This window comes from Homo sapiens, chromosome 11 (assembly GCF_000001405.40).
Source record: "Homo sapiens chromosome 11, GRCh38.p14 Primary Assembly".
In the NCBI taxonomy this organism is placed as follows: domain Eukaryota; kingdom Metazoa; phylum Chordata; class Mammalia; order Primates; family Hominidae; genus Homo; species Homo sapiens.
In genome coordinates, this window is record NC_000011.10 from 31,819,591 (window position 1) to 31,834,208 (window position 14,618).

The window sequence follows — 14,618 nt, forward strand, 5'->3', positions numbered from 1 at the left end:
CCTTACCATGGTCCTGTCGCCCTGCTCGGCTGGGAAGGGATGCTAAGAGAGGCATTTGTTCTGGTTTCCCTGTCGCCGTCGGCCATCTCCAGTGACCTAGTTTCTTGGTAAGCCCCTAGCTCCCCTCCAGGACCTGGCCCAGCCTCCAGCCTCAGATGTCCTGAGGTCTCCCAGACTCCGCCGTCCGCCTTGGCGTGTGGGCTGCGGATAGGCCTCGGACCTGTGTAGGCCTTCCTAGCTGGCCAGTTTCTGTCCGGGTCTCGCTCCCCACACTGTACCAACCCTAGGCCGCCGAGAGGGCTGTTATGGGCTTGTTTGGAGTCCAGGCCATTAAGTGTGCGCAAATCCCTGCAACCCAGCAGGGTGCTCGAGAGCGACTCTGGAAACGCCACGGCCCCCGCCTGCTTATCTGCCTGTCAATAAAGGGCGCGTTCGGGCTGCGCGGGAGCGCCGGTGGTGCAGGCGAGGCCCGAACTAGGCCCTTCCGAGCTCCGGGCCAACGCACGAGCCGCTCTCCATTTGTCCCGGGCAAGGAGGCTGGGAGGGAGGGAGCCGGCTCTGGGGTCGCCGAGGGAGAAGGTGCGGGTTTAGCCGCTGCCTCAGCTGGATTCTTGGAGAAGCGCTCGACCTCGGAGCACTCTGGAGACCCTACCAGAAATCTAGTGCTGGGGGCTCCTCTCCGCGCCTGCCACCAGCCTTGGAGGAAGCTGGGCAGGGCCCCGTGTGGTGCCCAGCCTACGAGGTCCCACCTCGCCTCTCCCTGGCAGAGGCATCCTCTCTAGGCCACACTGGCTCGCATTGCGGGAAGAAGGGCACCGCGGGCGGCCCGGGGGCATCATCGACGACTCGTAGAGCCCCAAATGCCGAGTGCTACCTGAGGCAGGCTGTAGCTGGGGTGAAAAGGACCGGAAGCGGGAAAGAAACCTCTTTTCTTTCAGGCCTCCCTTCAGCCCGGGGTAGCACAGACTGCAAATTTCCGACACCTAGGGCAGCTCCAGGCTCTGATTCTCCACCGCACAGTGAGCGAGCTCGGCAGCCGCCCAGTCTGCGTAGGCTCCCAGGCCAGCCCCGGCCCCAGAGCTTCCCCATCAGCCAGCAGAGGCTGGGTGGAGAGCCTGGATGGGCGTGAGAGGCCTTGAAGTAGGGGAAGTAGTGGAGAGAGAGAAAGATAGAGAAATCGGCTCTTGGCTTGAACTGTTGTTCTTGTCGAAGGTATGTTTTCCCCTCCCGGCCTCTGTCGCTTTTCCTCTCTCCCCTTAACTACTTTATGCAAATAAAGCCGCTTCCAGACTGGAGGAGCCCCTACCGCTGGATCTGTGCTACCAGGTGGGTGGGAATTGATTTAGTATTTGCCTTTTTATTGAGAATAGGCACTGAGTCTCCCACCAATTATAAAATAAAAATGGATTTTCCTCTTAAAATTTAATTTTACTCAATCTGGAAGATAATGCATCCTGTTAATTTCTACAATATTTTTAAAAAAGGATTCCAGGGTGAGCGCTAACTTATAAAATGGTTTAATAAAGCTTTTCCATATACAAATTAATAGGAGAGGAAAAAGCCCCTAAATAATTGATTTAAAATACTGTGTATTATTTGAGTGTCATTTCAAATAGCTGTACAAGCCAGTAATCAATATATCATCTAAGGAATCTAATTTACTGGGCAGTACGTGTGGCTCTTGCTCTTCCTTCCCTCTCCACTTCCTCCCCTTTAAACAGAAAACTTGTTTTAACAAGATTTTTATTTTAAATCAAAATTGAAGGAAAGTTTTGTGAATTCGAGCGTCAAAAAGGGGACTATTTAGCAAAGATAATATTTGCCATCTCTTCACCCCGGTCTCAAGGATTGCATAATGGCATGATTATGTGCAATTCTGTGTTTTCTCTGCTATTAATTTATTTTCCTGCTCTCATTTAAATAACTACTTTACTTTTTTCTCTCTTCTATTTTGCCACACCATAAAAAGTTTTCCCGGACCTCTGTGGAAAATCTCCAATCCTTCCAGTTAGCTTTGTCACAAACAAACAAACAAACAAAAAACAAACAAACAAACAAAACAAAACAAAAAACTCTACAACAATCAATTTGAGAAAACTCTGCTTTTTCTTTCCTTTTAAACATTTTCATATTAAGTCAGTTTGTGGCACCATGTTTGATTTCTTTCTCTCCCTTGTCCGGGTAGAGATGGAGACATTAGCTGAATTCCCTGGGGGTGATTGGATGCAATTCACTGAAAGTAGACAGGCACGTCCTGGATGTTAGAAATTCACTTTTTCTCAACGTGACAAGGCCGGCTTCGATCTACAATTGTATTTGAATGGGCAATGAGCGGAAAGATCTCTCATCATTAAGCTTGCTTCTACTTTAGCAAAATAAGGAGAGCCTTCATTTGCACACAAATGCTCATAAAACTCGGATTCCCTGCAACCCTTTAATAAAAAAGGATTGCTGCATAATTTAAATTGGAGGCCAGGGGAAGGCTGAGAGAGGGAGATGAGGGGGTTTCAACTGAGTCCCCTCCCTTCCCCCAAAAGGTCCATGTGATCGAGTTGACTTTTTTACTTTAAATCTTAAATAAGATGTGAGTTGTAACAAGAGGATTGGCACTTACTCCGTGACCCTTATAATTGGATTAAATATAGACTGAGACGTACAAAAACACACCAAGATTGACACCTGCCAACTGGACTTCCTTATGATTGATTGTGATGCTTCGTGCTGGCAACAATAATGAAATAAATTGTACGGATAAAACAGCACATTTGTCATTTCCGTGCCATGAGTGAGGAAGTCAACGAGTTAGGCAAGCTGTTAGCTGACAGGCGCGAGCGGGAGGCAAGCTAAAGAGATAAATAAGGATTCCAGGCATTGACAGGACAAATTATAACTTGTCACAACCTTTTTAAATTCAGAAGTTTTCAATTAACATATATATTGCTGTTACATATAAGATAAGGGGGCACTGACGTAAACACGCGTGGGGTGCAGGGACCCCCCCCCCCAGTGCCAAGGGTTTGGGCATCCGGGCTTGGGCATCCAGGCCTCTCTGGCTCTGTTCTCCCATTCTGGCAAGCCGGAGGGCACCCAGGTTTGCATGGCCAGCCTGTAGGCCCGGGGCTCCGTAAGGTGGGTGAGAGTGTGATAGGCTAAGTGCAGCTGCTTCTTTTGCTAGGAGCCCCAGTTCACAGGTCCAGCACCCTTTCTTCATGGAAGCAAAGCTCCCAGATCAAGGGAGAGGCTGGGCGAGGCCTGGGCCCAGGTCTGGAAGGACAAGTCCTGCTCTGTCTCCTGGAGTCCTATGTAAGGAGTAAGAGATAGAGGGCAGAGGCTCCCCCTTTTGCGCTCCAATGTCTTGCCCTCATAGGAAAATCTGAGCTGCTGGACACAACATATCAACAATGGCCACATCCTGTGGGCAGGCCTAGGCCACTGAAACCTGGTGTGGCCTGAGGCTGCTCCTGAGCTCTCAACTCCTTCTCTGACTCACCGGCCCAGTGCCGCCAAGGAACCGGTCCTGTGTCCTACCTAGGAAGAGCTGCTTTTCCCTCCTCAGACTTTGTTTCTGGTACAGTTCCCAGGGCTCTTCCTTGACCCATGGGTAGGAACGAGTTTGCCAGTGGGTCCTTGATAACCTGAGGCCATTCACCTAGAGCAAGTGAGATTTTCAGAGGAGCAAAGCGCTGGAGTCACCCTGTGAGGCTGCAAGTTAGGGGAAGCCATGAGATTTCTGGGGAAGTCTAGGTGTTGTGACTGTGACTGGGGACTGCTGTGGGTGAGGTTTGAAGAGTGTGGAGGGACTGTAAACTCTGCAACCATCTTCACCCCAAAGGAGGCTGGCTTTTTGGTTTTAAAGCTAACCCCTATCCTAAAGCAGAATCTAGACTTGCAGGGCCTCTCTGAACTCAGGTCCCAGCCTCCCCGCAAAGTCCAGCTGGAAAGGAAAGTTTGGGCGGGAAGCGAGCGTCCCCGGGTCTGAGGCTGCTGGGTGGAAAGCTGGCCTAGGAGGGCGAGTAGGGAGCAAAATAGGGCCTGGTCCTTGCGGGGCCGGGGAGCTAGAGGCCGCAGGAAGCTGGGAGGGCCCTTTCCAGGCAGGCAGGGCAGCCTCCTGGCGCGGCCCAAGGCGCGAGGCAGCCGCTGGCTAGGGAGGTCCAGTCTCCTGCAGGCCAGGGAGGGCTTCCTCTGGGTGCAGCCGTCTCCCTCCGCTCCTCAGCTTGGCTACTTGGTGCTCGGACCCCGCATCCTAGTCCTCGTCCTTGTGGGACAGAGGCCAACCTTGCTGTCGAGGCCCCAATATGTCACCACAAACACTCCCAGAACAAGAGCATCAACCCCAAGCTCCAGAACTTCTGGTCTTAGCCTACTGGAGCCTGCCACCAAATTAAACACCGCGAAGGCTTTGAATCCCTGCAAAGACGGAGCCTGGAAGAAAGGGAGGGAGGAAAAGGGAGGAAAAAAAACAAGTTACATGGAATTAGTTGGAAGCGGGCGCATTCCCCAGCGACCGCAGCCATTAACATTATAATCTCAAACGCCATTTTTTATGTAACACTATTGTTAGTAAATCAACTCCTCAGGTCCTCAGAGACGCTGACCCCTGGCAATTCAGTGAAAGTGTAATTATCTCCCCGAATCTTGGACAGATTTAAGAGATTACATTTCAACTAAATCTATATCAATGCTAATTCCCTCTCTCCCCCCAGCCTGCAGGTGCTAGGCACGGGAAATGGCGTCAGGCCCCAGCAGAACGCTTCACAAAGAGGAGAGGGCTAGCTGTGTACAGGGCCAAAAGAAATGAAGCCCCACATAAAATTACACCTTTTTTTTTTTGCTACAAAACCTGGTTCTTATATAGCAAAGTTAAACAAAGCAGCTATGCTAAATTAGCGTTACATAAAGGCGAGTTTAATGCTCGGTTACAGTCAACTGGTGTATCTCTGATGGCTAATTGTCTATCAAAATTAAAGAGAAAAGAACAAATGATTCGTTATAAGAAGGTGTTAAAAGCCTCAACAAAAGGACATTTCACAAATATAATATCGGCAGCTCCCGGATTGCCTGCGGGGTTGTTCAGGCCCCGGGCCTGCACAGCTATGAGAAGTGGGGTGCAGGGTGCTATTTGCCCAGCAAAAGCTCATTTCCTCCCAAATGAGTATAATGAAAACCCGAGAGGCGATATTAGTGTAAAGATCGGGATTAGTCCAAATAGGAGCCGCGGACTTGGGCTTCAAAGGCGACCCCTACTCTTTTTGCCCAGTCTGGGGGCGGAGGGCGCTCGAAGGGATACTTCAAGGACACCACATCCAACTTGTCGCAGCCCCACGTTCAGGCACAGGAGGGAGCGAACATTGGGCAGAGGGTAATTTCAACAAAGGACGGCAGGCTCCGGGGATCCCGGCTTTTCCCTGAGTTCTCTGGGTTGGAAGGAGAGGGTCCGGGCTCTGTCGGAGGAGTGGGTACAGCCCAGCACATGCTTTTCTGACGCGCAGCGCTGGCCTGGGGAGTGGGTGCAGCTGCTGCAGCCAGCCCCCACCCCGCCCCAGGCTGGGAAGGACGCAGAGTATAATACGACGGCCCCCTTCCCCAAGGGGACACTAGATCCAGAGCTCCAGGCATATTTGTTGTTCAAAGTTAATTATACCTGAAAGCAACCAAAATGCGCACGCCAGGCCCACGGAGGCCGATTGCCGACCAGCGTAGCCGGCCCGCAGCGCCAGAGAAGCCGCTCACTCCGGCGGAGTCTCTGCAAGAGAATCTGAGGCTGGGGAATAAAAGCCGAAACTAAATCAGGCAGCAAGAGTAACAAACCATCTGGAAAATGGACCCACGGAGCCGCAAGAATGTACTTTTTTTTTTTATCCTTGACAACTTGTGTCCTAAAGAAAGTGTATTGAAGATAATTGAAATGATTACAATTCATTGCTGCCTGACTTTGAATATGAACAGTCACATAATGACATCCCCGCCACACAACAACAGTTTAATTTCCATTATCCGACTTCGGGATCCTAGCGCCAGCCGCCGGGGCAACGTGGCGCTAATGCAGAAATCTTGGCTCCTGCCTGCATTATTCATTTCGGGGACGTGGGGATGGGATAGGAGTGGAGAGTGGGTTTCTTCCCCTCCCCCGAACTTATTCTGAAAATCCCGGGGACCAATGGACACCGAGGAACCGAAAGCCGAGAGAATAGCTGTCAAGGGGCCACTTTGACCGACGGGGCTGCGGTCGACGGCGCTCCCCGGCTGTCTTTTTGTCCCAGGGGTTCCCAGGCCCGCAGGGCTAGGATCCCCCAGCTCCCACCCTAGTCAGTCCCAGTCAGGGAGGACCTAGGCCAGGGCCTCCTCCCAAGGCTGTCATCTGGCGGGGCAAACGCTCTTCTCTCATTCCTTCGTCTCCCTTCCAGCCCTCGCATCCTTTCCTTCTTTCTGCTTCAGAGCTCTCAGGCTCGCGTGCAGGGCGGGATGGGCCCGGATCGGGGGCCCCTTCGCAGATTTGAAAGTTGCCTCGGCCTTGATCTTCTCCCAGCCTCCCTGCTGGGGACTCACCCCCACATCCCGCTACCCCCCGGGGAAAAGCGAAGAAAGCCAGAGTCTCTTTGCACGGCGGGGACGCTGGCGCTCACCTCTGGGCGCGGCCTCGGTGGAGCCTCAGGGCCAGGGCGGGGTGTGGCGGGGTGTGGCCCGGTGGGGTGAGGGAGGGACCCGGGGTGCAAGCCAGGCCAAGGCCTCCTCAGTGCGCAGGCGCCGTTCGGGCCCGCCGCCCCCTCCCAAGGCGTGGGGTCCCGGGGACAGACCCCGAGCCCCTCTCTGCGCAACTACCGCCTCTAAAAAAAAGACCATCTGGTAATTGTCTTTCTTTAGATCTTCCCTTAATTATGCTTTTAATTAAAGATGGTTCAAGGCACCGGACCACATGAAGGGCAGTAATTACAAATTACATTACAAACCCGACAGACGTAGCAGGATCTGCTGGGAAAAAGGTACCGGAATAAAAATTTGACTAAAGTTTGGGATAAATTAATCGGTGGCTTGAAGAACAGTAGCACATTTCTGATTATGTAGGCTCCAGCCAGGATTTAAGTTTTGTGTCATGATTGTTTTCATATTTCTTTGACATCTATTGATTTGGAGGCAGCTGCAAGCCTTTGTCACAGGAGAGAAGAGCAGTCACAATATATTAGCTTGATGGCATAACTCGAACCGGAGAAGCGAGGGGAGCCTGAGTGACTGGGGCGCACATGACCCCCCTCCTGGGGCCTTTGGGCTCAACCCTTACTTTTAACTTGTTCTAACAGGAATAATGGAGTAGTACTACTAATGCATGGTCAGAAGGGGCTTTTCTGTCTAGAACGCAGGCGGCGGGAGTTGCACCGCCACAGCCCGGGAGACCAAAGAGTCTCCACTCCCCGCTCCCGGCGCCTCCTCGCCGACCGGAGCCCCGAGCCCAGTGAGCCCAGCCGGTCCCACGTCGAGAGGCGCTGGGTTGGGAGAAGTTCTGCTGGTCGTGGGCTCGGCCCCCAGGCGCCAGGCCGAGTGCCCACCTCGGCTTCTTTAGGGGGCCTACAGCGGGCAGCCGAGCGGCTGGCGGACCCGGAGCTTGGGAGGCGACCGCCAGGCTGGTGCCCGGCCTGACCCGGCGTTCGCGGCCGCCCGCTCGCCCGCCGCGGGCCGGGAGCGTACAGGAGTGTGACGCAGATTGTGAAAACAGAAGGGAGGGAGTTGGGTCATTTCCTTCGCTAATCATCGCCCCCTCCTGCTCCTCCTCCCCACCCCCATCCCATCCTCGCCGCCACCCAGCCTCGAACTCTCTTCCTTGCCAGAGTCTGCCTCACTTTGAGCCAGTGGCTGCACTTTATGGAGAAAATATATGTGCCCATCACTCACCCATCTATTTGCAGCGTCCATGGAGCGCCTCGGGGAACACGCATGGACAATTAAACACACCCACTTACGGCGGGATGATGAGGCTTTCTGTTAACCACATGTGTTCAGAAATGGATACAGCCCTAATTTTGACACGGAATGCAGCTAATGCACCTTGCTATAGATGTACGTCCGTTGGAAAAGTGTGTGATGGGCACCTGATCTACACCAAGAGAACAGGGCTGTCTGCAGAAGACCCAGCGGCCTGACACCTTTTCTTGTTGCCGGGGAAGGAAAGTTTTTCTTTTGATTTGTCCTCTCACGATTTTTCCCTTTTCCTTTGCATTACAGTTTCAGAGAGGAATGTAAATATTTTGACTAGACCTCTGCAGGGGCCTTTTAAACACCAGGCACAATCATCTGTGGAATACTGTAGTTCATACTTTCAAAACTTGGGTGTTAAAGAGTCTGTCTTGCTGAGGAAACCCATAGAACTAGTGGCGACCTTTCAACTCCCTATTTGTGTGATGAAATGAAGTATGCCCTAGTGATTGTCGAATTTTAAGGACTTGTTCTGTCACTGCTACTTTCCGATCGTTTGCAGGGAAGAAAAATCAATCAAACAGACCTTTGATGGGGTTGTGGCAAGGTCACATTTCACTGTGCTCCAGGCTTACCTCTTCTTAACGCCCCTCCCTGCTGTGGAGCGTGTGCAGGTAGTATGCAAAACTCTAGAAATAATATTTGAAAAAATTAACACCTTGTTTATCTCTTCTGTGTATTTGATATAGGGGTTTCTTTCTTTTCCTGTTTTGGTGTTTAATACAAGGCTGATATATTGGAACAGAATGCAGACTTCAAAGAAACTAAAATTAGGAGGCAAATAGCGTCAAGGTTTCCTCGGTTTCTGTATGTAGTACAAATAGTATAGCGTCTTTTCATCCAAAAAGAAGCAAAAATTGCCAGGAGGCATAAAGCATCTCTGAATATCCGTTTTTTTTAAAGAAACAAACATTTCCCAAATATTGATGTACGCATGGTTTTATAGTCTGAAAATATTTCTAGGCACAAATATGGCATACAAACATTCGTTTCAACTCTGTCGTTGTTGTTAAAATGACAGTAAATTATAGTTTATTTTAAGATACCTCCCTGTTAATGTCAGTTGAGGTTATTTTAGGGCCTGGATGCTCTAGGAAGACCACCTAAAATGTGTTTATTTCTCTGCCCAATTCACCTATAGTGTAAGGAGCATTTTATTTTATTTTATTTTATTTTATTTTATTTTATTATACTTTAAGTTTTAGGGTACATGTGCACAATGTGCAGGTTTGTTACATGTGTATACTTGTGCCATGTTGGTGTGATGCACCCATTAACTCGTCATTTAGCATTAGGTATATCTCCTAATGCTATCCCTCCCCTCCCCCCATCCCACAACAGTCCCCAGAGTGTCATGTAAGGAGCATTTTAAATAAAATATTTTGGGCATCCTTAAGTCCTTTTTTAAAAATCCAACATTCTACAATTGTGACAAATAGGCTGAAAAATTTTGTTTTGTTTATACCAAATTCATTTTAATAAAGCATTTGCTGAGATTTTAATACAACAAATGCCAACAAAATGCATCAGAGTAGAAAAAAGAAAATATTTTCAGAATTGCCTATAATATTGCTTGTGATCCTAAATTTTTTGATGCAAGGAACTTGAATTTTTCAGCTAATATTATTCTGTTTTCTTATTCTGTGTTTCTATTAGAACACTCACCTATGCTCTGCTTCCCTTGCTGTCTTCCCATAGCTTATGTGTGCACTATGAATTTCAATAAATATAAATTACTGCTTAAAAGAGTAAAGAATGGCTACTTTATGACTCACTGTTCTCTCCTTACAATCTGCTCAAAAATCTTTTTTACAAATCCCATTGTAGCTACTTCCCCTCAATTCCACGATGAAAGTGAATGGCAAATGCCATTCAATTTAGAGGAACTCAAGCACAGAGAATATAAAGATGTTGTTCAAAGCCTCCCTCAAATCTATCTGTAGGCTTACAAACAAAATGAGACTGGAGGCAACATCAGTACACATCTCCGACTCCATATGAGGTTACTTGAAGCTTTGGGGTTCACTCTGGAAACAGAAGACATGCATCAAGGTATGTGTTCCTTAGAGACTGACAAGCAACAGTGGACCTCAGGAGAAATAAAACAACTCATGCTCTCAACTGCCTCTGATTTGCAGACAAGGAAGAGTTTTCTCTAATTTTTTTTTTTTTTTTTTTTTTTTGCCTGCATTACTTTTTCTGTGCTTGGTGGCTAAACCAGAGAGCAGTCTGCAACATTTTGCTTTTGGGGATTTCCTGTGGCTTTGCCACATTCCCTGGAGAAACTCATAAAGTCCTGGAGTCTATGGAGGGATTACAGAGAGCCACAAACATCATTCTTCCTCTAATCCATCTGGGGCAGATACAGTATTGATAACAACCTTTCTGTTACTTGACAGTTTCAGACCATTCAGATGAGAACAAATAATAGGAATTTGGTAGTGGAGGTGGGGAAAATAGAGGCAATTGGTATAGTCTTCTGAGTTGAAAGGACTGGTTTCCATTCCAAAATCGTGGAAACAAGTACAAAATTAAACACTTTCCATTCAATTCTTTGGAAGTGATTTCTTCTGTCTTTGGTTATTGTAGTGCATTTGTGTTGGGGAATTGATGCATTTATTTACTTTGTCCCTAAGACAAGACAGTGCTCAGTTGCTTGCATTTTGTAGCTTCAGTTTGTTTGGCTCTCCCAGCTTGAACCTACTATGTTAGGTAATAAGGAAGCCCATTTGCATTAGATAATAAGAATCAGGGACAAGGCAGACACAATGCTGATTAAACAAGGGCTCATATCCCATTTTGAGAGCTCCCTGATAACCAGCGCCACAATCACATTGGTAGGTCAAGCAAAAATCTGAAGATAAAATCAATGTCAGTTTTCTGTCTTGGTGACAGACAGCGACCCACCAGAATTATATCCAGTAAATCCTGTTATCAAGTTCCTCACTGTCGTTGATGAATTCACTTATGCTATGGGTCAGAGATTATGCTGTGGCCACCACCTATGTGATGATGTCTACGGCATCCCTCACTTTGACACAGACTTACACAGAACAATACGCTAACAATTATAGCTGTCCAACTTCCTGGTCTGCTTTGTAAGGTAAGGGCAGTGAAGACACTGGGAATGTTCAAGTGGAATCTGGGGTGTGGGGAAGACCAAACCTGCATGAAGGAGTGGTTAGGGAAATTAACTTACTTCCCAAACTGTATCAGGGCCAGAATCATCCCAGAAACATTTATTTTATCTATTGGTTATTTATTAAATAATTTAAATATGATTACTTGTCAAAATGAAAGTACATTCATGTGGTTCAAAATTCTGAAGTTCAGAAAATATTTTGTGAAAATTCTTCATATCCAGTCATACAGCCACCCCCTTCTTACCTATTGAAAGCAACCAACACTATCAGTATCTTATGTATAGGGGAGCTTTAAAAATATGGAATTCCAAGGCCTACTTAATGAGACTCTTTGGAGACAGAGGCTTTGCTATTGGTGTTTAAAAAAAATCTTTCCAGATAAGTTTGTTGATATGTGGGCACTTAAGTGATTTTTAGACTTCTTTCAAACACTGAGATTTTATGGAAATATATAATGTAATACTACTCGTCCCCTACGTTCCTACAATGTGTGTAAAGTATTTTCAAAACTAGTATATATTTTTTTCTTTTTGCAACCCTGTAAAATAGGTATTATTTTCTGCCCCCTTCCCATTTTTCAGAGAATGGAAACTTCTGAAAAACTCTCAGAAGTTTGGACAACTTGACGGAGGTAACTCAGCTAGTAAACAGCAGGGTCAGGTAGCATCATTCAAGGCCATGCTAGGACCTAAGTGCTTTTACTTTGAGCTTTACCCCACATCACATCAAATGATAACATGACCCGTACTTCAACATAATTATTTGCTATAAACTGTTTTAAAATAATTTTGATAAATTTGAAGTTCATTAGGAATGAATTATTCATTTCATTTTTATGATTAAACTTTACTACATTTATACATGACATGTAAGTTGAGTTGCAGCTGGTGTGTTGACATGATGTCAACGCTTTTAGTCATGTAAACATTTATCAATGCTGACTCTGTGTGTGTATGTGTGTGAGACAGGGTGTTACTGTGTCGCCCAGGCTGTAGTGCAGTGGCTGTAATCTTGGCTTACTGCAACCTCCACTTCAAACGACCCTCCTACCTCAGCCTCCTGAGTAGCTAGGACTACAGGCATGCACCACCATGCCCGGCTAATTTTTAAATTTTTTTTTGTAGAGATAGGGTTTCGCCATATTGCCCAGGCTGATCTTGAATTTCTGGGCTCAAGCGATCTGCCCACCTTGGCCTCCTAAAGTGCTGGGATTACAGGAGTGAACGCTGCACCTGGCCGATGCTGACTTTAAAGTTGCTGCCATTTTTTTTTTTTTCATATTTTGGAGCTACTAATTTTGGGGATAAGGGCAAGAATTCAAATATCTTTTCAAGCTTTTGAGGAGCTTGTAGGTTTTAGGTTCTATACTTGAGGTGCTTGTTTTAGTTAGGTTAAGGCTAAATTTCTCTAACAAATAGCCCCAGAAAAAATTCAGTGGATTAAAGAGAATAAGAGTTTATTTTCCTTTCATCTAACAGTCTGAGGTGTATGTTTCAGGGTAGCAGGCAGCTTGCTTTATGTAGTTTTCCAGCCATCTAGGATTCTCTATCCCTTAGGCTATTGCCTTTATCTGCATGAACCATAGATTCCTCCAGGTTCTGGTTCATAAGTGGAGAAAGTGCAGGAGGTGCGTCCATGGTTTTTAGGTCCATGGTCTACCTTGAAACTGGCACACATTCCTTCTGCTCACATTCCTTTGTTCAGAACTTAGTCACATGTCCACAGCAAACTACAAGTAGAATTGGTCAACCCATATTGACCCAAATGCGGTGGTGACCCACATGTAGTGAAACAACCAGCAGCATTCACAACAATGCATAATGCAGCTAGGAGACTGTTACAATAATCCAGGTAGAAGCTGATGATGGTAGCAGTGGTATTTGTGGGAGATAACTGAATTCTGGATATATTTTAAAGAATATCCTAATAGATTGGATAAGGCTGTGAGTCAAAGAAGAGTCAAGGATGATGTCCAGGTTTTGGCCTGAGAAACTAGAAGAACAGATTTCTCATTTATAGAGGTGAGGAAGACTGAGGAGGAAATTTCTGTAGAAAGGCAAAGAATTTGGTGTTGGATATATTGGGTGTGAGATGCCTATTAGAAATCCAAGTAAAAATGTCATGTAAGAGTTGAGCATATGAGTCTGGAGTTTTAAAACTAAACACTGAATAAAGTCAACAAGGAAATCAATATAGGCAGAGAAGAAGCCTAAGGATCAAGCTTTGGGACATGTTGATGTTTAGAGGTCTGGAAGATGAAGAGAAATTGAGGGGAGTCCCTAGAAAGGCAGGAGGATAACCAGGAAAGGCTGGCACACAGGAGTCCAATTGGAGAAAGCATTTTAGGAAGCGGAACATGATCAACCTTTAAACAACTATAGTGTTAAATACTGTAAATAGGTCATGTTGGATGAGAACTGAGAATTGACTGTTGGATTTATCAATATGTCATGGATTTTTGGGGAAAGTGACTAGTAGGAATAGAATATTGGAATAAAAACATAATGAAAGGAGAGAAATTTGAGGCAGCACAAGTACCTATAACTATTTCAGTGATTTTTGTTGCAAAGGGGTAAGCAGAAAAATGGGGCAGTAGTTAGAGATCAAGGTTTTTTAAAGGTTGCATGAAAAAATCTTCATGTTTGGATTCTATTGGGAAATCATTCACTAGAGAAGGTAAAATTAATGATGCAAGGAAGGAGTGGAGAATTGTCTTATCAGTGTCCATGAGAAGGCAAGAAGAAATAGGACCTAGTTCACAAATGGAGGTGTTGGTCTACTTGCAAGCATGGATGATCCATTCACAATAATGGGACAAAGCAGAGTGAACAGCTCAGATACAGTGTAGCAGGATGTGGTGAAGGTGCTTGTTCTTTTCTGATTTTCTCAATAAAATTGTAAGTCAGGTCATTATTTCAGAAGATGGAGAAGGAGACACTGTGGGTTTGAGGTGAAGAGGGAAATTGGGAAACTCAGCTAGACAATGGGTGTGTGAAATAACAGGAGACTTGTACAAGGTTTTTGGGCATCTCTGGGGCCTAGTCGGCCTCACTGGTGTATACTTTTCTCTAGGCACAGCTCAGGTACAGAGTAGGCTGAGAGTTGGATTTGGTTAGGATTGGGCTGTTGCAAGGAGAGACAGTATGATGAAGGGAGAGAAAGAGGCAAGGGAGTTACTTGTGTGTGCAAACGGGTTACTCCGTGGAATCTAAACTGGGTAGAAAAGGACGTGAAAACCTGAGGGGATAAAGACCAGTGGAGAAGTGATAGGATTAAAGGATTTTAGATTTAAGTGGGTCAATGAGTTGTTGAAGTGATGGAGTGAGCAGGAAAGATAGTAAATGATAGTTGGAGAGTGAAATGGAGATGACCGAGGGGTGAAATTAATGTCAAAGTATAGCATAAGACCATGGGAGTGGGTGGTAGCTGGAGCAACAGAGGTCAAGGAACTGAAAAGCAAGGGCACTGGAAGGATCATAGATATTGAAATTCTGAAGAATTAGGGCAGGG

The 14,618-nt window shown here is 46.6% G+C and overlaps 2 long non-coding RNA genes across 2 annotated transcripts in view, besides 4 other annotated features; both read left to right on the plus strand.

Moving 5' to 3' along the window:
• Positions 1-7,650: part of a biological region, named in NCBI's record as "PAX6 upstream regulatory region", that runs on past the window's edge. NCBI's record gives its function as "regulatory_interactions: LOC105980003 | LOC105980005 | LOC105980073 | LOC106007493 | PAX6 | PAX6DRR".
• PAX6-AS1 (PAX6 antisense RNA 1) overlaps positions 1-14,618 on the plus strand; it is a 70,476-nt gene that overhangs the window by 3,025 nt on the left and 52,833 nt on the right. The gene's annotated exons all lie outside the window — the stretch shown is intronic.
• Positions 2,203-2,358: an enhancer, noted in NCBI's record as "HETK fragment". NCBI's record gives the evidence for it as "EXISTENCE:reporter gene assay evidence [ECO:0000049][PMID:10079359]".
• Positions 3,730-4,289: an enhancer, noted in NCBI's record as "NANOG-H3K27ac-H3K4me1 hESC enhancer chr11:31844867-31845426 (GRCh37/hg19 assembly coordinates)". NCBI's record gives its function as "activates a minimal SCP1, AML or CMV promoter by ChIP-STARR-seq in naive H9 embryonic stem cells {active_cell/tissue: H9 hESC(naive)}" and the evidence as "EXISTENCE:reporter gene assay evidence [ECO:0000049][PMID:30033119]".
• Positions 6,226-7,650: an enhancer, noted in NCBI's record as "NSTK fragment". NCBI's record gives the evidence for it as "EXISTENCE:reporter gene assay evidence [ECO:0000049][PMID:10079359]".
• PAUPAR (PAX6 upstream antisense RNA) lies at positions 6,977-9,713 on the plus strand. The gene has a single exon (NR_117094.1). It is a non-coding gene; the product is annotated as a PAX6 upstream antisense RNA (long non-coding RNA).